General features: G+C 45.9%; 2 protein-coding genes across 3 annotated transcripts; both read left to right on the top strand.

Moving 5' to 3' along the window:
- Nucleotides 1-271: 271 nt before the first annotated feature.
- On the top strand, nt 272-4,440 carry PRAMEF12 (PRAME family member 12). Its single transcript, NM_001080830.5, has 3 exons — nt 272-1,688; nt 2,077-2,652; nt 3,545-4,440. The coding sequence occupies exons 1-3, from the start codon at nt 1,402-1,404 to the stop codon at nt 4,131-4,133; spliced, it is 1,452 nt and encodes a 483-aa protein (NP_001074299.2). The 5' UTR covers nt 272-1,401; the 3' UTR covers nt 4,134-4,440.
- Nucleotides 17,931-23,162, top strand: PRAMEF1 (PRAME family member 1). 2 transcript variants are annotated; one of them, NM_023013.4, is made up of 4 exons: nt 17,931-18,008; nt 19,737-20,048; nt 20,449-21,027; nt 21,972-23,162. In NM_023013.4, exons 2-4 carry the CDS (start codon nt 19,762-19,764, stop codon nt 22,528-22,530), a joined length of 1,425 nt encoding a protein of 474 aa, NP_075389.2. In that variant the 5' UTR covers nt 17,931-18,008; nt 19,737-19,761; the 3' UTR covers nt 22,531-23,162. The 2 variants fall into 2 exon arrangements, with proteins under 2 accessions (NP_075389.2, NP_001281068.1); NM_001294139.1 differs by lacking the exons at nt 17,931-18,008; nt 19,737-20,048; nt 20,449-21,027 and adding an exon at nt 21,225-21,503.

Consider the following 23,792-nt stretch of genomic DNA (forward strand, 5'->3'; position numbering starts at 1 on the left):
GCTCTCATGTCAGTCAAACTCCATCAGTGTTTGTGGAATAAAGGAATGAATGAGTTGTGGACTTTCACCCTATTATTTATATCTTTCACTTTCATAAACGTATATCTGATCCAATCAATTAATCAGAAGAAAGTCGCAAACTCAATCAGGATTAACTGGGTGGAACTTCAGAATCTAATCAGACATCATTTTCTGATTGGAAGTTGGTTGTTGAGATGGGGAGGGTGTGGTTAGAAAGGTCCATAAAAGCTCCCGAAGGTGCACAGGAGAGAATCCAAGGCGCTGACACCTGGAGCTACTGCTCGGTTCTCTGAGAGGTTGCAGCACCCTGCAAACTGAGTCCAGATCTGGTAAGTCACCACCTCCTTAGGGTCATGCCCATCTGATCTGCAGCCAGCCAGCCAGTCAGGGATGGTGACATGCAGCCCAAGGTGGCAGAGAGAATTTTCTTGTCTGTTTTCAGAAGAACAAATTTAGGCTTTGATTTTTCCTCTAAATGTAGTTTTGTCTTCATCCCCCAAAATTGGATTTGTGCTTGGTTTTTGTCATTTCAAAATTCTTATTGAAGCAGTTTTTTTTTTAACAAGAGATATTAAAAAGTTACAACTGGTTGAATTTTTATTTCGTGACATTTGAAATAATTGGTTTTTGTGCCCTTAAATTATAGTTCATAGACTTGGTGGCATCGTGATTTTACATGTTAGGCCTTAGTTTTTACTAATACCTTAAAGATATTCCATAGGCCATTCTCAAGAGTGGAGTCTTTGTTCTGAACATGGGACCCATTTTTTTCCCCTAGATTCCATCCCAAAGTGGGTCATTGTGAGTCTGTGTAAGAGATCAACATTGGAACCTTCATCTGAGAGTTAGTGTTTTTATCCCTAACTTTCACAGGCTCTAGAACACTGTCATGCTGTTTTTACAATTTCTTGTTACAATTTTTCAAAATAAAAAATAATGGCGCTGATTCCAAGGAGTCCCTTTAGTCTTCTGCAAGCATGTCAATTGTGGGAACTGAGAATGTAGGCTGTGTGGGGCCACAGGACATTCTCGTTCCCATTGTTTTAGGGTGGTAAGTGACAAGAAATATTTTCTCAAAAAGGTGGAGCTTAGCTTTCAGGATCCTCAGCAACGCTTCCCAGTGTTACTGAGATTTAGTGCAGCAATGGTTGAAAATGAATGGGCCAGTGGTTACCTTGCCCTCTCCTCATTGTTTGGAAGACATTCTTTATGGTACCAGCAAGGGCAGAATTACAGATTTGTGTCCAGAAAGTGCAGAGTGGAATTGGGGTGAACTAATTACCTTTCCACCTCTACCAGAGCAATGACATTGGCACTAGGAGATGATGAAGTGATGTGATTTGCCGTAAGAATGATGTTTTTTTCTCTAGATTCATCAGGATGAGCCTCCAGGCCCCACCTAGACTCCTGGAGCTGGCTGAGCAGAGTCTGCTGAGAGACCGGGCCTTGGCCATCCCCACCCTGGAGGAGCTGCCCAGGGAGCTCTTTCCCCCACTGTTCATGGAGGCCTTTACCAGGAGATGCTGCGAGACCCTGACAACTATGGTGCAGGCCTGGCCCTTCACCTGCCTTCCTCTAGGGTCCCTGATGAAGTCATGTAATCTAGAGATCTTTCGAGCTGTGCTGGAGGGGCTTGATGCACTGCTTGCCCAGAAGGTTCGCCCCAGGTGAGGTGACCCAGCTAACCAGGTGGGGAGGGCTCAGGCATCCAGGGTAGGGTTAGCTGGGTCAGAAGGAGTGGGAGGCCCAAGGGTGGCCCAGAGACTTCTGATGGGGCTGGGGAGGAAGCTCAGAGAGGCCTTGGCCATTGTCCAGCTCCTCTGGGAAAGGACTGCTCACCATGCAGGGTCCACTGAAGGATCAGGAACCTGCCTCCTGCCAGTGGCAATTGAAGACACTAGCAGTGGGGACCAGGCAGGTTTCAAGGAGAAAGAGGGATGGAGAAAAGACAGAGAGTGGGAGAAGCAGCAGGGAGGAGAGTCGCTGATGTCCGGGATGTGGATAAAAGCTCAAATCCTTCCTAAATTTGGAGCCTCTCTTCTCTTTTACCCACAGGCGGTGGAAACTTCAAGTGTTGGACTTGCGGAATGTGGATGAGAACTTCTGGGGCATATGGTCTGGAGCTTCTGCACTCTCCCCAGAGGCCCTGAGTAAGAGACGAACAGCAGGGAACTGTCCAAGGCCGGGTGGGCAGCAGCCCTTGATGGTGATCCTAGACCTTTGCTTCAAGAATGGGACGCTGGATGAATGCCTCACCCACTTCTTAGAGTGGGGCAAGCAGAGAAAAGGCTTACTGCACGTGTGTTGCAAGGAGCTGCAGATTTTTGGAATAGCCATCCACAGGATCATAGAGGTCCTGAACACGGTGGAGCTAGACTGTATCCAGGAGGTGGAAGTGTGCTGCCCGTGGGAGCTGTCCATTCTTATAAGGTTCGCCCCTTACCTGGGCCAGATGAGGAATCTCCGCAAACTTGTTCTCTTCAACATCCATGTCTCTGCCTGCATTCCCCTAGACAGGAAGGAGCAGTTTGTCATCCAGTTCACCTCTCAGTTCCTCAAGCTGGACTACTTCCAGAAGCTTTACATGCACTCTGTCTCTTTCCTCGAAGGCCACCTGGACCAGCTGCTCAGGTGAGGAAGTATGGTGAGCTTTCTCTGCAGACCGCAGCAAAGACTTTCTTTATTACTGTAAACACCAGGGGGTATCTACTGTGAGCCAGCTTGTGAGGAGGTAACAGCGAAGGGGACACTAGAATGTCCATGCATTGTCCTGTTGGCAGCTCTGTCCTGAAATAGGTGTCACACATCCATCCCAATAAGCCAGCGGGATCTCCTGGGCTAGATGCTATAGAGAGGCTGCCATGCTAGGAAGGTACTGCAGGGTTTAGATCTAGTGAGGGTGCATTCGTGAATTCCTCCCGAGGATGTGTGTCTAAGTTAAGACGATGGGAAATGGGGAGTTGAAGAGGGCACTAAAGAAGAGAATGTCCATCACACCCCTCCATTTTAAAATATAAGGTCTGTCCTCACCTGCCTAGTGAACAGGTAAAATCCTGTGTCTCCCTCTGTCAGTAAAATGTTTTGAGCTCCAAAACATGATGGAATAGAGGGTGAGGGAGCAGGAGTGAAGAATGGTGAAAGTGATAGATGGTTTGCTGATGATACGGGCATGTCAGGGTCTCCTGCAGCCTGGCCACCCCAGCTGAGGTTGCAGGATCTTGCCTGGGTTTGTCATTTATGCCTGTGTCTCCATCGGGCTCCTGTGGCCCAGAGATGTGGTTTTCTACCTGACACATGAGGAAAGGGAGCATTAGAGTTCATGGACTTGACCCAGTCACCCGAGTGATGGTGAAGGACTGAGCCTCGATTGGGTCTGCCCTGAATGAGCAGAGTCTCCATTCCCACACCCCAGGTGCTGATTATCCTCAGATAAGCAGAACAGCCTTGGGTTGTGAAAAGTGTCATCTCTCACCTTGAGGTCTTCCCCACCACTCTCCTCTAACTCCTTCTTGTTCTCTCCCAGGTGTCTCCAGGCCCCCTTGGAGACAGTCGTAATGACCGAATGCCTGCTGTCAGAGTCGGACCTGAAGCATCTCTCTTGGTGCCCGAGCATCCGTCAGCTAAAAGAGCTAGACCTGAGGGGCATCACACTGACCCATTTCAGTCCTGAGCCCCTCTCAGTTCTGCTGGAGCAAGCTGAGGCCACCCTGCAGACCCTGGACTTAGAGGACTGTGGGATCGTGGATTCCCAACTCAGCGCCATCCTGCCTGCCCTGAGCCGCTGCTCCCAGCTCAGCACCTTCAGCTTCTGTGGGAACCTCATCTCCATGGCCGCCCTGGAGAACCTGCTGCGCCACACCGTCGGGCTGAGCAAGCTAAGCCTGGAGCTGTATCCTGCCCCTCTGGAGAGTTATGATGCCCAGGGTGCTCTCTGCTGGGGAAGATTTTCTCAACTTGGGGCTGAGCTGATGAAGACACTGAGGGACTTAAGGCAGCCCAAGATAATTGTGTTCAGCACTGTCCCCTGCCCTCGCTGTGGCATCAGGGCCTCCTATGACCTGGAGCCCAGTCACTGTCTGTTGAATGCCTGCTGTCAGGGTGGATTTATTTAAAGCTTTCTTCTGGTCATTTGGCAACTGAATCCTAGGCCATGAGTGTATGTCAAAGGGAGCACAGACCCATCGTTTCATATGCCTGCTCAATGTGAACCGGAAAGGAAAGGGGATGCAGGAAGGGAGGGACTGGGGGAAAAGTTGAGTTGGAGTCAATAGGAGCTTTAGAGACCTGTGTCCCAGAGAATCAGAAATGGGAATCTGAATTGCTAGAATGAGAATCAGGTAGGAGAGACACATGAGACAGTTACCCCTGCACGGATGGTTGTAAAGAAACAGTCAGAAATAAAGGGAAGCTGAGTGGAAACTGTCTGGTGTCCTCCATGATTGCTTCACCTGGCTTAACAATTTTAACCTAAGGAATCTCAAGTTACTCATGGGGGACAAAAGGCACTAAGTTCTCTAAAATTAATGAGGTTCAGCCCAAGGAAATAAAGGCATCAAAGTGGAATGTGATCGTTTTGCTCAATTCCTTTTTTTTTAATTTCTCTCTGGGCATGTGTCTATTTAGTGGGTTAATACACGTGAGATGCACTTACGGGGCCTGGACCATTCTAGGTGGGCAGTGAGGGTCAGTCACTGAAGTTCAGCCCCTTCTTCGCAGGGCCCTCACTTTTGTCCAGATGCTTAGACCCTGTTTACTCCTGATGGGTGGATTCAGAACGCTCAGTTGCTGACCATTACCTGTGCTGGGAAAGGATTTCACTGCACAAGGTGTGGCCTCTGCCCTGGAAGGGGAGCTCCACACTGTATGAGCAGGAGCCTCAGGGCATCACCAACCCATGCTTGTTCTCATGGAGGGTAGTGACCCTTGCAATATTAAAATAGTTGTGGCCAATAAAGACATCCAAATTCCCTTTTTGGGAAAATGCTTAAATTATGCAGGCATATAGTACATTTTAAACATTTCTAGCCCACATTTAACAAACATTTTATCCTTTTGGGGAGCTAGGTCATATTGATGAGATTTTCCCATAACACTTGCCTTCTCTCCCTCTCAAGGAAGACTAGTGCAGTGTGTTTGGGTATCACACGTCATCAGAGGGTGGATAATGATCAAGTGCCTGTGGGTGATGAGTGACCTTCGCTGTGCTGAGGGACCCTACACAAAAGGCTCCCGAGTGTGGGACCCTGCTGAGGACACAGGGGCTGGTGCTGTTGGGCAGGAAGCTGAGGAAAGAGCCTCAATTTTCCTGTAGAATGAGAAGGATTATGCCCACCAGCCTGTGGGACCCTCTTAGGACACAGTGAGATGGTACATGGTTATGACTTGGAATGGGGCCTTTCATACAGTAAAAGCTTAATACATGCATCCTGTCTTTCTTTTTTCCTCCTAATAAAAGTCTCAGCATTCTTCATCCTTCAATCTCACCTCCTATTCCTCATAACAGGGAGGCAGTAGGGACCCAGGGCATGCAATGGGACTCAGCTTCTACACGCCGCCACCGCTTAATCATGATTCCTGTAAACAGCAGGACCTCAACAACCAGCAAAGAACGGGGTGGGCAGTGCAGGACTGAATTCATCTCTAGTGATCATGAGATAAAAATTTCCAAACCACGGGACTCATGTGCCATCTGCTGTAATTTAGTTAGACCGTCTGGTGTAATTTAGTGATGAAAGCAGGAGTATATTAAGTGGTACTTCCAAAAATCTGCTATTATGTAAATGTTTATGGAGTGTCACTATTCATTTGTTGGCTATTCTAAATAATTGGCCATGTTGCCCCAATACCCCTTAAAGTCAGAGGTAATCCAAAGACTTTCCCCAATTGGAGAAGATTTAATAGAACAAGGACTTACAATTCCTTGTCCCAATCCATGTAACCCTTCCATCCTGCCAGATATAAAACCTAACTGACAAGGTTAATGATTTGTGCAAGACTTACATGCAATAAAGAAAATTGTAATAGTGAGATATACTGTGGCTTCACATGAAATATCTTGTTATGTAAGGTGACTACAGACTCTAAATGGTACCCAGTGAGAGATTTCTCCTCTGCCTTCCTTAGGATTCCTGTTGATGAGGAGAGCCAATACTTGTTGGCCTTTACTTGAAAAATTCAGCAACACGCCTGGGTTGTAACGCCACAGGGGTTCACTGGAGTCCCATCATAGTTCTCGCAGGGATAACACCAGGACCTGTTAACCTTACCATTCCCTAGAAATTCCACTCTCATTCAATATGCAGTAGGTGTGCAGTTATGTTCTCTTACCAAGGGACACTCTAATAGATTCCATTTATCTTTTAGAGCAGTAAGCTTACAAGGGCCCTAAGACCTCCATGAAAACTTTTCCATTCTCTAGAGAAAAGGTCCTTACTTAGGACATAATCCAAGTGCAGGGAAAGCTTCCATCTCATCTGAAATAATAAAGACAATCCACGGTTTCCCTAGTCCCGTAACAATGAGGAGGTGCCCTCTTACATGTGAGACATTGTAGCTGTTGGTTCCCAAATTTCTCTCTGCTGGCATCATTCTTATAATGAACTCACAGAAAAACTTTGTCCCAGTGCGCCTGAGTGGGCAGGTGTAGGACTTGACACTGGGTGCAATGTTATACAATATTTTTTGCCTCTTTCCATGTGATATCAAATTTATTTTTTAGTCCTGTTGCATTTACATGAGTCAAAGCATGAAGTTCTTGTGCTTCTATGAATGCAGATGATGCTAGCAAGTCAGCTTGTTCATTTGCTTTAGTTAAAGGCCTTGGTAAATTAGTACGTGCTCAGATATGAGTAATATAAAATGGGAAATTTCTTTTTCTTACAATTTGTTGTAACAAATTAAAGGGCTTGTTTAACTGATCATCCATACTATATTTGATTAGGGCTGTCTCAACATCCTTTGTAGCTGTGCTACATATGCAGAATCTGATTTTCAATGACTCGTTCTTTCGGCCTGGTGTGAACCACTTTTCCATTGCTGGAACCATCAGTAAACACCATCAGAGCATTTTCTAAAGGTTTATGTCTGGTAATTTTAGGTAAAATTCAAGTAGTCAATTTTAAAAACTGGAAGATTTTTGTTTTTGGGTAATGCTTATCAGTAATTCTCACAAAATCAGCAAGACCAATCTGCCATGCAGCAGAATTGATAAAGCCTTGTCTAAACTCTTCCTTGTTTAAAGGAACAATGATTTTATCTGGGTCACTTCCACACAATTTTATTATTTGTAATCTTGCCTGACCAATTAATGTAGCCATTTGATCCAAGTACAATGTAAAAGTCTTAATCGTACTGTGAGGAAGGAAAGATCACTCCACAAGATCTGTATTTTGAACAATAATGCCTGTTGAGAATGTGCAGTAGCAAAAATCAAAAGTTGGAGTGGGGCGAAGTGATCTATTCTATTTACTTGTGCTGACCGAATTTTTTCTTCAATTAATTCAATTTCTTTAGTTGCCTCTGGAGTTAATGTTCTTTTACTATTCAATTCTGGATCCCCACTCAAGATAGAGAACAAATTTGACATGGCATAAGTAAGGATGCCTAGAGTTGGCCAAATCCAATTAATATCTCCTAGCAATTTATGAAAGTCGTTTAATGTTTTTAATGTGTCTTTTCTTATTTCTATTTTTTGTTGTTTAAATTTTCTTTCCTCTACCTGCATTCCCAAGTAATGGACAGGAGTAGAGGTTTGAATCTTATCAGATGCTATTGTCAGTCCTGCGTTTGCAACCTCTGTCTGCAGAAATGTGTAACAGTCAATTAATGTGTCTCTCGTTTCTGCAGCACACAAAAGATCATCAACATAATGAAAGACGTAGTCTGAAAACTTGTCTCTAACTGGTTGAAGAGCTTCAGCTACAAAAATCTGACAAATAGTTGGACTATTAAGCATTCCCTGGGCAACACTTTCCACTGAAACCTGGTGGCTGGTTCTTTATTATTTATGGCTGGTATAGTAAAAGCAAATTTTTCAAAATCCTGTTTTGCTAGAGGAATGGTAAAAAAGCAATCCTTCAGATCAATTATAATTAAAGGCCAATCTTTGGGGATCATGGCCAGAGAGGGCAACCCAGGTTGGAGAGCCCCCATAGGTTGAATTACAGCATTGACGGCTCTTAAGACGGTCAACATGTGCCATCTGCCGGATTTTTTCTGAGTTACAAACACAGGAGAATTCAAGGCGAAAATGAAGGCTCAATATGTCCCTTTGCTAATTGTTCTTTTGCCCGTAAGTGTAAAGCCTCCAGCTTTTGTTTTGGTAGCAGCCACTGATTTACCCATACAGGTTTTTCTGTTTTCCAAGTTAATGGAATGGGTTTTGGAGGCTCTACAGTGGCCACTCCTAAAAAGGATATCCTATTCTTTTTCTTTCTTGATTTCCCTCAGCCTCAATTGGGATTTTAATGCCATCTCCATTTTTCCCTAGTCCTTTGCCAGGGAGACATCCCATTTTAGTCATGATTTTTTGACTCGTGGGGCTGTATAAGGAGGCTGGGATAGTAATCTCTGCATGTCATTGTTGTAACAAGTCTCGGCCCAAAAAATTATTTGGAATAAAAGTAATCATAGGTTGAACTGTACTTTCTTGATTATCAGGTCCTAGACAATGTAAAATCATGGTGCTTTGATACACTTTTGAGGCGCTGCCCACACCGACAAGTCCTGTAACAGGCTTTTGTTTAGGCCAATTTTTTGGCCATTGATTTAAGGCGATAAGGGAAACATCAGCATCGGTATCCAATAATCCTATAAACTGCTTTCCCTGAATAGTGACTGTACACACAGGTCTATTCTCTGAGACATGACGAGCCCATTGAGTGGCTTTTCTGGCAGAGTTGGTACTTCCAAACCCTCTTGTCCTTTCCGTTTTGTTTTCCCAATTTTAATATAAGGCAAAAGCAATAATTGAGCAATTCTATTACCTGGATTGGCACTCCAGGGAACAGTGGAGCTGATCACTAACTGAATTTCCCCTTTATAATCTGAATCAATTACCCCAGTATGAATTTGGACTCCCTTCAAATTTAGACTTCATCTCCCTAAAATGAGGCCTACTGTCCCTCCTGGCAGTGGGCCATATACCCCTGTAGGAATCTTTTGCGGGGTCTCTCCAGGGAGTAAAGAAACCTTTTGAGTGGAACATAAATCTACTGCTGTGCTGCCTGCTGTGGCGGGGGACAGCTGTTGTATTGTTGTAATTGGCTGATTCCCTGAAGTGGTGGTATTTGCTGTGGGGGTTGCTGTCCCTGAAAACCCTGAAGAACAAACGGCTGAATCGGGAATGCCCCAGTTTGTTGTTGGGACTGAGGCTGGCCCCTCACCCCTTTTTCTGACAATAGTTGCCCATTTTTATCATATTTAGAACGACATTGATTAGCCCAATGTTTTCCTTTTCCATGTCTTGGACACAGGCCAGGTGGCTCTTTATTTTTACTCTGTTTATTTAAGACTGGGCAGTTCTTTTTTAGATGACCGATTTGACCACAATTATAACATTTCCCCCCAAATGCTCTAACTATCCTCCTAAAGTGACTCCGGTCATTGCTTGAGCCATTAGCATTGCCTTACGCATAGCTCCTCCAATCCCATCACAAGCTTTCACATATTCTGTAATTACATCAACTCCTGCTGGACCTTTTCCTTTTAATGGCTTTATGGCTGGTTGAAATTCTGGATTTGACTTTTGAAAAGCCATTATTTCTACAATAACTTTTTGGGCATTATCATCTGAAACAGATTTTTCAGAGGCATCTTGCAACCTTGCCACGAAGTCTGGATATGGCTCTTTACAGCCTTGTCTAATTGAATTAGAAGAAGGGCAAGCAGTGCCTGGGCAAGCGATGCCTGGGCAAGCGGTGCGTGGGGCACCCAGGTGCCTGGGTCCTGAATTTTTTCCCAGTCCCTGAGGCAAAGAGCCTTTAGATGTTCAATACCCTCATTCTGCATTACTGATTGTTGGCCAATTGTGCTCCAATTTGGACCTGTTCCTAGCAATTGATCTGCATCTATATTAACAGCGGGATAAATAGCCTGATTTTTTCATGCCTGTTCTTGTACTCCATCAATCCACCAGGTTTTAAATTGTAGGAACTGAGAGGGTGAAAGGGAAGATTTAGCCAACGTTTCCCAATCATAGGGAATAAGTCTATTTCCATGAGCAATGGAATCTAATAAAGTTCTCATATAAGGGGAGTTGGGTCCATATTGTTTAACTCCTTCCTTCATATCTTTTAACATTTTCATGGTGAAAGATTCATATCTAGCCTCAGTTTGGACAGACGCTCCAGCTTGCCCCCCTTTCCCAGCTGGTATTGGTTGTAAAATTACAAGGAACTGCCATGCCTCAAGATCTCCCTGTTTTCTGGCTTTATCAATGATTTCATGCAGTGTACTACCTTGTCCACTAGGTGGTGATGTAGGATTAAACACCACTGGGTTGCTGGTGAGGTGCCGTGCTATGTGGCACGGGACACACAGCTTGAGGTCTGTATTGAACCTCCGGAGACAGCCCATACTGAAGCTCAGCTGGCGGCCAGTATTGATAAACTACCGGTGGTTGGGTCTTATTTTCTACCAGCTGATATTGTGGATACTGTATCTGAATTGGCATTGCCGGGATAGAGACTCTATCCTTTTCTACTTGATATTCTCTTGGGGTTTGCACTTGTCTAACCTGCATTTGAGGTTGTAATGTTACAGGCATCTGAACCACTGGAGGAGGAGTTGATGGCCATGGTGGTTTAGGCTCTGGTAGCCCCAATAATTCTGGACCTCCTTCCACCAGTTTTGATGATTCAGGATATACTACCTCCTGTAACTGATTGTAGTCAACATTTTGCGTTGACTGAGCCATTACAGACTCTGCTACATTTTTACAATGTGAACTTTCCATTAATTTCCGGGATTTTGTCTCTGCCTCTTCTTCACAATCTACTACACATCTTTCAGGGGCATCAGAAATTGAAAGGCTGTCTTTTTCTATTTGAAACGGTTCTAAAGTTGCTTTAATAATGGGCCAATCATTCCATACTGTAAGTGGGATGATTTTACCTTCCCTATTTGCTTGTTTTAATTCTTTGCCAATTTTCCCCCAATCTTTTAGATCTAAAGTTCCCTGTTTTGGAAACCATGGGCAGAATTGTTCTATTGTTTGAAATAACATAATTAGATTTTCTGTAGAAGCTCTAACTCCCCATCTTCTTAGAAGAATTTTAATGAAGCTGAGATAAGAGGCATATTTACCTTCAGTTTGTCCCATTGTTACCCTGAGTTCCACTGAGCGCACAAGCTTACCGCATGGCTGACCATGGAAGTACTTGGGAATCTCTCGTTGACTGTCTTCAATGCTCACGTTTTTAGTGTACCTTCACCCTAGAGAAAGGCCCATGTTGGGCGCCATATGAAGGGGGTCAGCCACTCCACACCTGTGGGTATTTCTCATCAGGCAGGACAAGAGACTGAGAAAAGAAATAAGACACAGAGACAAAGTATCGAGAAAGAAAAATGGGCCCAGGGGACTGGTGCTCAGCATGCGGAGGACCCACACCGCCACTGGTCTCTGAGTTCCCTCAGTATTTATTGATTACTATTTTCACTAACTCAGTAAGGGAAAAGTGGCAGGAGAGCAGGGTGATAGTGGGGAGAAAATCAGCAAGAAAACATGTGAGCAGAGGAATCTGTGTCACAAATAAGTTTAAGGGATGGTACTATGCCTGGATGTGCACATAGGCCAGATTTATGCTTTTCTCCACCCAAACATCTCAGTGGAGTAAAGAGTAACAAAGCAGCATTGCTGCCAACATGTCTCGCCTCCCACCACAGGCAGTTTTTCTCCTATCTCAGAATAGAACAAATGTATAATCAGGTTTTATACTGAGGCATTCAGTTCCCAGGGGCAGGCAGGAGACAGAAGCCTTCCTCTTAACTGCAAGAGGCCTTCCTCCTTTACTAATCCTCCTCAGCACAGACCCTTAATGGGTGTCAAGCTGGGTGGAAGGTCAGGTCTTTCCCATTCAATGAGGTCATATTTCAGACTATCACATGAGGAGAAACCTTGGACAATACCTGGCTTTCCAGGGCAGGGGTCCCTGAAGTTTTTCACAGTGTATTGCACCCCTGGTTACTTGAGAATGGAGAATGGTGATGACTTTTATCAAGCATACTGCCTGTAAACCTTTTGCTAGGAAAGCACATCCTGCACAGCCCTGGACCCCTTAAACCTTGATTCTATACAACACATGCTGCTGTGAGCTCAAAGTTGGGGCTAAAGTTACAGATTAACAGCATCTCAGGGCAAAGTCAGGGTACAGATCAAAATGATGTTTCTTATGTCTTCCTTTTCTACATAGACACAGTAACCGTCTGATCTCTCTTTCTTTTCCCTGCATACACTATTCTTCTTCTTTAGTCTGCTAGATATGGGAAGGGTGTTAAGAAGGGATCTCTCATCAATATGACCTGGCCCCCAAAAAGCATGCTTGATTTTTGAATGTGGTAAAGAAATATTTAAACCATGTTTTATGTCTATATGATTATTAGTATTTATATATTGTTTTGTTTTGTTTTGTTTTTGAGATGGAGTCTCACTCTGTCATGAGGCTGAAGTGTGGTGGCACAATCTCAGCTCACAGCAACCTACACCTCCTGAGTTCAAGCAATTCTCCTGCCTCAGCTGGGAGTACAGGCATGTGCCAACATGTCCAGCTAATTTTTGTATTTTTAGTAGAGACAGGGTTTCACCATGTTGGCTAGGATGGTCTCGATCTCTTGATCTTGTGATTCTCCTGCCTCAGCCTCTCAAAGTGCTACTATTATATGTATAAGCCAACACGCCTGGCCATATTTATATATTATAGGTAGTATTTTGCTAAAAGGGAATTTTGATATCTTTATAAGACACAACTAGTTTAATTAAGGAAGGAGCACTGCCCACCATGATGACAGGTATGGGTTGGTGATGCCCTGAAGCTCCAGGTAATCAATGATGTGAATGTCCCCTTCCAAAGCAGGGGCCATGCCTTGTGCAGTGAATCTCTGTCCCAGCACAGCTAATGGTCAGAAATGGATTCTTCTCAATCTGCCCATTAGGACTGAACAGGGTCTCAGCATCTGGTTAGCAGGGAGGGACCCTGAGAAGGGGCTTTACTTGAGTGACTCACACTCTTTGCCCACATAGAATGTTCCCGGCCCTGTGTGTGCATCTTGTGGGTATTCACCCACTGATCAGCCACAGAACAAAGCAAGTAGGTAATAGATTTATAAAGAGAAGTAAAGAACAGAAGGGAATTGATAAAAATGAGGAAATTTCATTTGGATGCCTGACTTCCTGGGGCAGGACCTCATTAAAAACACAGCTCGGTGCTTCTGATTTTCTCTTTTTCTTGTCTCTTTTTCCTGAGACGGAGTCTTGCTCTATTTCCCAGGCTGCAGTGTAGTGGCTCTATCTCAGCTCACTGAAACCTCTGCCTCCTGGCTTCAAGCGATTCTCCTACCTCAGCCTCCCAAATAGCTCGGACTACAAGTGCCTGCCACCATGCTCAGCTAATTTTTTTTTTGGCCCCGAGTCTCGCCCTGTCGTCCAGGTTGGAGTGAAGTGGCACGATCTGGAGATCTCAAGTACATGGACCGGGGAGGCTGCAGGAATTTGTTTATCTTGGGCTGGGGGTGCATGGGAAGTAGGTAGGGCTCCTGTGACCACAAACCCAAGGCCTCTGGGATCAGAAGGCAACAACAAGGGCCAGGACCTACCCCGGGGCCTGTGCTTGCAGGGACCCTGGCTCTCATTTGTATGTGGGGTGCCTGAGTGATTTCAGATTCCTCACCCATCCCCGTTGGCTCTTCTAGGGGAGATGCATCTATAACACCTGTAGGTGACCCTGTGTAGGAAAAGATTGCAGAACCCACACGGGCCCATGCTGAGTGAGGCTTTCTCCAGGTGGGCACAAAAACCCCTAGCTCCCCAGCCACTGCCAGAGCTTGGGGTTGGGGGCCCTACATGGAGGCAAATGCAGGGAGCATTGGCAAAGGCAGGGCTGAGTGAAAGGAGAAGAAGAGCACATGGAAAAGACACAGGGGTCTCTGACAGTTCCAGGGCCAGAGGCACTTGGGAGTGGGAGAGGCATGACTGGGAGATAGGTCCAGGGCTTTTTCTGAGCCCTGAGGCCCCAGCAGGTTTACTTCCCTCCGAAGATCTCTCTGGGCTATTGTGCCTGGGAGTCAAGGCTGGCTCCGCTGCAGCCCTGTGGGAAGGGCATAGATCCCTCAGGGTCTAAGGTTCAACTTTACTCTTATCCTCAAATGAGGGCTTTTACCCAGGGATCTCTTGTCCGCAGATCCCACGTCTTCTTGCTGGACTCCCAGAGGAAGTTGTCCTACCAGGGACATTGGATGTTTTACTTTTCTCTTCCATGGAACCATCTCTGTCAGGTAGAGTTGTGCCTTTCTAGGTGGCCGCACACACACACACACACACACACACACATACTTACCATGTGGCCATTGCAGTGATGCCCACTGGGCTTCGGGTTCTTCCATAGCACCCAGCTGAAAAAAGCCTCACCTAAGGCTAAGAAGAGACATGGCTTGGACAAAAAAATACTTACTGCATTCCAGGTGCATCTTTATCAGCTCTAAGGCTGGACCAGGGGAACCTGGGAAGGGATGGCCCCTGTGCTGGGACCTGTCGAAGGCTCTGTCATCATCCTGGCAGCCTTGGAAGACCAGAGGGGTCAGGTCTTCCTCTGCAAGCCAGGCAGTGTCACCACCCAGAAGTCCAGGGTGCCTCTTTAGGTCCAGAGCAGCAGCTGTGGAGTTTCCTGCTTTGTGCCTTGCCATGTTCACCAACATCACTCAATATAAATTGGGGAAAATTTCTTAATTACTGCTGGGTCTCTCTGCATTGTGGCCATGTTCTGAAGTCCAGGAGAGATGGGCTGATGGCCTTGGGATGCATAAAGTGACGCCGGCCCCATCAGCTCAGGCTGGGGGAGAAAACAGAGGCTCAGGAATATTCTAGAGAGCCTAAGCAAGGGCCTCATAGGAGCTTTGGAATCCCAGTGTGGATTCTGGGATTGGAGAATAGGTCAGGTCGTTTCCTGAGATGGGTTTTGAAGCTTGCTCTGAGCTTGGCAGCAGATGAGCACCTCGAGAAGACCTGGCGACAGAACATGGTAGAAAAGACCCCAAGTGCAGGATTCTCACTGGGGTCCTGGGGGTGCTACTGCACCCCTTGAAATGGGCAGGAAGAGGGAGTCAGTCAGCCAGTTCTTTCCAATATTTAGCTTATTGAACACCTTAGGCGTTCCACTGAGCCCCTCACCTGAGGGGTTTGCCAATCATTTGCTGCCAGAACATGGGCAGGTTTTTCTCTGGCCAAATCTCAGGTTTATCAGGTTAGAAATGGGGAAAATAGCAACGTGCCTTAGATTCTCCATGAAGAAGAGCTGAGGTCCGAGATGATCGGTACCAGCCATCTGTTGTGCCTCGTGGATGCTCAGTGAACACAGATTCTAACAACCATTATTGGTGCTGAGCTCACCCTCAGCCTCAGGTTTACAAAGTGGGGCATGGGAAGTAGAAGCCTCACTGGGCTCAGGTGATCCTCCCACCTCAACTTCTTGGGCAGCTTGGCCTACAGGTGCACACTGCCTCCCCCCAGCTAATATCTTGTATTTGTATTAGAGACAGGGTTTCATCACATTGCCCATATTCCTCACAAACTCCTGAGCTCTAGCACTCTGCCTTTCTTGGCTTCCCAAAGGGCTGGGATTAGAGGCCTGAGGTCTTTCTTTCTTTTCCTTCCTTCCTTCCTTCCTTCCTTCCTTCCTTCCTTCCTTCCTTCCTTCCTTCCTTCCTTCCTTCCCTCTTTCTTTCTTTCTTTCTTTCTTTCTTTCTTTCTTTCTTTCTTTCTTTCTTGCTTGCTTGCTTGCTTGCTTGCTTGCTTTTTCTTTTGTTCCTTTTTGACAGTGTCATGCCGTCACCCAGGATGGAAGGCAGTGGCGCCATCTCAGCTCACTGCAACTTCGCATCCTGGGTTTAAGCGATTCTCCTGCCTCAGCCTTCTGAGTAGCTGGGAGTGCAGACATCTGCCACTATGCTCGGCTAATTTTTTGTATTTTTAGTAGAGACGGAGTTTCACCGTGTTAGCTAGAATGGTCTTGATATACTGACCTCATGATCAGCCCACCTTGGCCTCTCAAAGTGCTGATGTTACAGGCATGAGCCACTGTGCCTGGGTCTGAGCTTTCTTTGTAGGCCTAATGTTGATGCTCTGATAAGAATCTCTATGTTCAATATTAGCGACAGGAAAGGACTCTAAGAAGGAGGAAACATGAATTATCAAATTAGAGTAGGAAGGGAGTGGGTGAGATTAAGATTTGGATGAAGGGTCCTGGAAAATGACTGGGGCCAATGGTTGCTGGGAAATGTTCCACTGTGGGAAGATCCCAGAGTCTAAAGGAAAGGTTTCCAAATGATAGAACAATGACGGACATATGGACCCTCGTTCATTTCTCTCTCACATCCTGTAGAGCCCACAGTTTCTACCTGGGTGGCTTCCAGCTTGGGACAGCCACCCTTCCCAGGTCTAGCCACAATCTTCTCTCTGGCCTCTGCTCCAGCTCACATTCTCAGATTCCATCTTTGCAAGCTGGTTTTCTGAGAGGAGCCCATCATTTTTGTGGGTAAACACCCTTTACCTTCTAGTAGGGCCAAGACTATACCTGCCCCCTGTGTTTTCAAAGTGAATGTTATGGTTTAAGTCTGCCCTATCTCTTTTGATGATTCTCCTTTTAATTTCTGAACTCAATCTAGGGTGGGTGAGATGGCTGATGCATGTTATCCCAGCATTTTGGGAGGCTGAGGTGAGGAGATCACTTGAGGTCAGGAGTTTGAGACCAGCCGGGCCAACATGGTGAAACCCCATCTCGACTAAAATACAAAAATTAGTAGGGCTTGTTGGAGTGCACCTGTAATTCCCAGCTACTTGGGAGGCAGAAGTGAGAGAATTGCTTGAACCCAGAAGGTTGAGGCTGCAGTGAGCTGAAATCGTGCCACTGCACTCCAGCCTGAGTGACAGATGTAGGCCCAGTCTGAAAATCAAAGAATCAATAAATAAACTCAATCTTGACAAAGGACTTTGAGTCCTGACATCTAGATGCCCACAAGATAACCGCCATGTTTTACATTGTCTTGTTTCCTTTGCAGGTTCCCATTAGAACACCTAGTCTCATTCCGCTCAGTCCCCACCTCACTTGGTCACTTTGTCCTGATTTCCTTCAGTGAAGCCTTGACTTAGTCTTGAGATAGATCACACCCTCAGTGGTTCCTTTCTTCTACCTGAATGTGCATATGATCTGCTATGTTAGATAGCATAAAACACAGGTGACCATTCGATATACACAGCTTTTTATTCTGTTTTCTTGGGAATGACATCACTATCTTCTTCAGGCTGTTGTAGCTCTGAAACATTTTGACAATTTTGATGTGGCCAAACATCCTCCAATAAGGACACCTTAAGGTTTTTTTTTTTTTGGTCTAATATCAGGAACAGATTAATCCCTTCCCTGTATCACTATGAAAGTCGTGTATTAGCGAAACTTCATCAGTATTTGAGGAATAAATGAATGAATGAGTTTTGGACTTTCACCCTATTATTTATTCTTTTACTTCCATAAATGTGTATCTAATTCGATCAATTAGTCAGAAGAAAGCTGAAAACTCAATCAGGATTAACTGGGTGTGACTGCAAGATCTAATCAGGTATCACTTTCTGATTGGAAGCTGGTGATTGAGAAGGGAAGGGTGGGGTTAGAAAGGTCTATAAAAGCTCCTGAGGGTACCCAGAAGAGACCCACAGCACTCATTCCTGGAGCTACTGGTTGGTTTCCTGAGAGGTCCCAGAACTCTGCGAAGTGAGTCCAGCGCTGGTAAGTCACCACCTGCTTAGGGTCATGCCCATCTGATCAGCAGCCAGCCAGTCAGGGACGGTGACACACATCCCAAAGTGGCACACAATATTTTTCTGTCTGTTTCGTGAGATGAACAGATTTAGGCTTTCATTTTTCCTCTAAATGTAGTTTTGTCTTCATCCATCAAATTGTGATTTGTGCTTGGTTTTTGTCATTTTAAAATTCTTATCGAAGCAGGTTTTTTAAAAATATATTAAAAATTTACAGTGACATGAATTTTTATTTCTTGACATTTGAAGTTATTTGTTTTTGTGCCCTTCAATTACAGTTCATAGACTTGGTGTTATTGTGATTCTCCAAGTATGCTTTCATTTTCATAAAATCCTTAAAGGTATCCCACACAGCAATCTCAAGAGTGCAGTTTTGCTCAGATCATGGGATTCATCTTTGCCCCTAGGATCTGTCCAAAAGTGGGTAATTGTGAGTATGTGGAAGTGATGTCTATAGGAACCTTCATCTTAGAGTTACAGTGCTCTAGAATAGCATGGTAGCACTTTTACGGTTTCTGGTTAATTTTTTTTTTCAGATGGAGTTTCCCTATTGTTGCCCAGGCTGCAGTGCCATGGTGTGATTTGGCTCACTGAAATTTCTGCCTCCTAGTTACATGCGATTCTCCTGCTTCAGCCTCCTGAGTAGCTTGGATTACAGGCACTCACCACCATGCCCAGCTAATTTTTGTATTTTTAGTAGACACAGGGTTTTGCCATGTTGGCCATGCTGTCCTCAAACTCCTGACCTCAGGAGATCTGCCCACCTCAGACTCCCAAAGTGCTGGGATTACATGAGTGAGCCACCGCGCCCAGCTACAGTTAGCATTTCTATACATACCTTCCAAATGCTGTGGAATACCATCACACCACTTTTACAGTTCCAGTGAATTTTGTTTTTTTCTGTGATGTACTCTGAGTGTGTCACCCAGACTGGAGTGCAGGGCCCTGAGCTGGGCTCCCTGGAAACTCTGCCTCTGGGCTTCAAGTGATTCTCCTTTCTCTGCCTCCAGAGTAGCTAGGATTACAGTCATGCATGACCACACCTGGCTAACATTTTAATTAACTTATTTATCAATTTGTTTTTGTTTGAGTCAGAGTCCAAGTCTGTCACCCAGGCTGGAGAGCAGTGGTGCGATCTTGGCTCATTGCAACTTCTGCCTTCTGGAGTCAAATGATTCTTAATTTTTTTATATTTAGTAGAGACATGGTTTCATTATGTAGGCCAGGCTGTTCTCAAATTACGGACCTCAAGTGATCTGCCTCCTTGGTGTCCAGCAGTGTTGGGATTACAGACATGAGCCACAGCACCTGGTCCATTTCTGGTAGAAAATTTTCAAAATAAAAAATAATGGCATCGATTTTAGGGAGTCCCTTTAGTGTTCCCCCAGCATGTTTATGGTGTAAACTGAGAATGGAGGCTGTCTGGGGCCACAGGACACTCTCATTCTCATTGCTTTAGGGTGGTAAGTGACAAGAAATTTTTCTTCAAAGAGGTAGAGCTTGGCTTTCAGGATCCTCAGTGGCACTGTCCGGTGGTTCTGGGATTCAGTGGAGCAATGGAAGAAAATTAATAAGTCAGTGGTCTCCATGACCCCTCCCTCCTTGGTGTTTGGAAGACATTCTTCCTGGTACCAGTAGAAGCAGATGATTGTCTTTGCCCTGAGAGTGACACATTTTCCCTGGATTTGTCTTCTAGAGATTTTCCTTGCAGATCTATCAGGATGAGCATCCAGGCCCCACCCAGACTACTGGAGCTGGCAGGGCAGAGCCTGCTGAGAGACCAGGCCTTGTCCATCTCTGCCATGGAGGAGCTGCCCAGGGTGCTCTATCTCCCACTCTTCATGGAGGCCTTCAGCAGGAGACACTTCCAGACTCTGACGGTGATGGTTCAGGCCTGGCCCTTCACCTGCCTCCCTCTGGGATCACTGATGAAGACGCTTCATTTGGAGACCTTAAAAGCATTGCTGGAAGGGCTTCATATGCTGCTTACACAGAAGGATCGCCCCAGGTGAGGTGACCCAGGAGGGCTGGTAGATAGGGCTCAGGTGTCCAGGGAAAGAACAGCAGGGTCAGGCAGAGAAGTAGCCCAAGTGTGGCCCAGAGTCTTCTGATGGTGTTGGCGAGGAAGATCAGGGAGGCTTTGGCCATTTTCCAGATCCTCAGAGAAAGGACTGCTCACCATACAGGGTCCACTGTGGGAACAGAAACCTGCCTTTACTCAGTGGAAGGTAAAGGGAATAGAAGTGGGGAATCAAAAGTCAGAATCAAAAGGGAACAGGGATTGAGAAAAGACAAAGAGAACAGGGAGCACTGAGGACAGGAGCAGCTGATTTATGGGATGACAATGAAAGCAAAGGTCAGGGATGAGTCCTTCTAAATTCTGAGTCTCTCCCTTACTTTACCCACAGGAGGTGGAAACTTCAAGTGCTGGATTTGCGGGATGTTGACGAGAATTTCTGGGCCAGATGGCCTGGAGCCTGGGCCCTGTCCTGCTTCCCAGAGACCACGAGTAAGAGGCAGACAGCAGAGGACTGTCCAAGGATGGGAGAGCACCAGCCCTTAAAGGTGTTCATAGACATCTGCCTCAAGGAAATACCCCAGGATGAATGCCTGAGATACCTCTTCCAGTGGGTTTACCAAAGGAGAGGTTTAGTACACCTGTGCTGTAGTAAGCTGGTCAATTATCTAACGCCGATTAAATATCTCAGAAAGTCATTGAAAATAATATACCTGAATAGTATTCAAGAGCTGGAAATTCGCAACATGTCCTGGCCACGTCTGATAAGAAAGCTTCGTTGTTACCTGAAGGAGATGAAGAATCTTCGCAAACTCGTTTTCTCCAGGTGCCATCATTACACGTCAGATAATGAACTCGAAGGACGGTTAGTTGCCAAATTCAGCTCTGTGTTCCTCAGGCTGGAACACCTTCAGTTGCTTAAAATAAAATTGATCACCTTCTTCAGTGGGCACCTGGAACAGCTGATCAGGTGAGAAAGGATCATGCACTTTGTATGCAGACCACAGCATAGCCTTGTTCTGTAACAGCAAACATTAGAATGCATGTACTGTGTGCCAGCCAGTGGCAACGTCACAGTGAAGGGGACATCAGAATGTCAACACATTGTCCCATTCAGTGTTCCATGTCCTGGAGTGGCTATCACAGGATCGCTCCAATAAGGGGAGAGGCGTCACCTGGGGTAGAAGCTAGAGAGGGACATCATGTACAAGCTAGTTAGTGGGGGTTTCAGCTCTATTGGGGGTGCACGTGTGAATTTCCTGTTACAAAGTGTGTTTCAAGTTGATATGATGTCAAAGAGATAATAGAGGAGGGTATGAAAGGAGGGAAAGCGCATCAAACCTGTCCATTTCACAATAGAACGTCTGTCCTCACCGGCTTAGTGATCACGAATGATCCTGTCTCTGATTCCCTGTTTGTAAAAGGTTGTTTTGAACTCCAGGAAAGGTAATTGACATGGGAAATGCGTGCTTCCGGGATGGAGGTGAGGGAGTAGGCGTGAGAGTGGTAAAAAGTGACAGTTGGTTTGCAGATGCAGGCATGTCAGGGAGCCCCTGCTGACATGTAGCTCTAGCTGATGTCCCTAGACCTTGCTCAGTTGAGTTCTTTGTTCACATCTCCCACCGGGTACCTGTGGCCCAGAGATGAAGTTTTCTGCTAAAAGATGAAAAAAAAAAGGCTTTAGAGATTTTATGGCCTTGAACCAATCACACAAGCAATGGTGAAAGGGCTGAGGCTAAAATGGGACAGCCCCTGAACGATCAGGGTCCTCATCATGCAGCAACTTCCATGAGGACCATCATCAGATGGTGGGAACAAACTTGTGTTTGTTTGACGCAGGCATTTTCCTAGATGAAGGCACTACCTTCATCTAACTGGTATCACTGCCCAGAACTAACTTCTTGATCTCCACAGGTGCCTCCAGAACCCCTTGGAGAACTTGGAATTAACTTATGGCTACCTATTGGAAGAAGACATGAAGTGTCTCTCCCAGTACCCAAGCCTCGGTTACCTAAAGCATCTGAATCTCAGCTACGTGCTGCTGTTCCGCATCAGTCTTGAACCCCTCGGAGCTCTGCTGGAGAAAATTGCTGCCTCTCTCAAAACCCTCATCTTGGAGGGCTGTCAGATCCACTACTCCCAACTCAGTGCCATCCTGCCTGGCCTGAGCCGCTGCTCCCAGCTCACCACCTTCTACTTTGGCAGAAATTGCATGTCTATTGACGCCCTGAAGGACCTGCTGCGCCACACCAGTGGGCTGAGCAAGTTAAGCCTGGAGACGTATCCTGCCCCTGAGGAGAGTTTGAATTCCTTGGTTCGTGTCAATTGGGAGATCTTCACCCCACTTCGGGCTGAGCTGATGTGTACACTGAGGGAAGTCAGGCAGCCCAAGAGGATCTTCATTGGCCCCACCCCCTGCCCTTCCTGTGGCTCATCACCGTCTGAGGAACTGGAGCTCCATCTTTGCTGCTAGGGAAGGCGTGCCCAGTGGGGTAGAGAAATCCAAAGTTCTCTTCCAGGCACTTGGACACTAAAATCTACTATGTGGGTGCAAACTATTTTTCTCTTTTCTTATTTATTTCATTTTTTAATAATTCCAAAATTTTTATTAAAGACAATTTGAGACAGGGTTTCGCTGTGTTGCTCCAGCTGGTCTCAAACTGCTGGGCTTATGGGATCCTCCTGCCTCAGCTTCCTAAAGTGCTGGGATTACTGGCATGAGTGACTGTGTCCAGGCCACATGCAACTTAAAGGAAGCACAGGCAAGTGTTCAGTGTGAGGGAAAAAACATAACAGCAGGGGGCAAGGTTGGAGGAAAATGTTGAGGTGACATCAGTGAGAACTTCAGGGACCCGTGTCCTAGAGTCGGAAAGAGAAGCTAAAGTTCTACAGTGATGAGACTGTTATCCCTGCAAGGATGGTTACCAAGGAATATCAGCAATAAAGAGCACCTGAATGAAAACTTTTAACCTGTTGTGCAATTTATCCATCAGAAATCTCTAGTTATCGAGTTACGGATGGAAAAATAACGAAATACTAATTTGTCTGTGATTGAGTTTCAGTTGTAGAACATCAAAGCAACCAAATAAAAATTAGATCATTTTGAGTATTTCCCACCCATTCTTGTTCTTTGTTTTGTTTTGGAGACAAAATCTCAGTTTGTCATTTAGGCTGGAGTGCGATGGTGCAATCTGGGCTCACTGCAATCCTGTCCTTCAGGGCTCAAGTGATTCTCGTGCCTCAACCACTCAAATGGCTGGGACTGCAGGCATATTCCACCAAGCCTGGGTGATTTTTGTATTTTTAATAAAGATGGGATTTTTCCATGTTGATCAGCCTGGTCTCAAGATCCTGTCTTCGAGTGATCCACCAACCTTGGCCTCCCAAAGTGCTGGGAAAACAGGTGTGCAGATGATCTCCACCCATTCTTTACTTCTCTTCAGTCATCAGTTTTTTTCTTCCTTTTTTTGCCTGCAGGGAGCAGCTCGGTCAGGCACAAAGGGACAGGCAGAGAGGGGCCCCAAGGAGAAGATAGGAATGGGGTGGTGCCCCGCTCGCACAAGAAGTGTGGATGCCAGGCCCAGAAAACAGAGCTGGGGCCATCCATCAGGGGGCCAGGGTGAGAAGCACAAGTGGCACCTGCTTCAAGGTCCTGTTGAGCTATCTGGCCACTGTGCCCATCCTGTTAACAGTGTCAAGCTCCTGGGTCTTGAAGGGAGGTTCCATGCGGATCCA

This window comes from Homo sapiens, chromosome 1 (assembly GCF_000001405.40).
Source record: "Homo sapiens chromosome 1, GRCh38.p14 Primary Assembly".
Classification (NCBI taxonomy): Eukaryota; Metazoa; Chordata; class Mammalia; order Primates; family Hominidae; genus Homo; species Homo sapiens.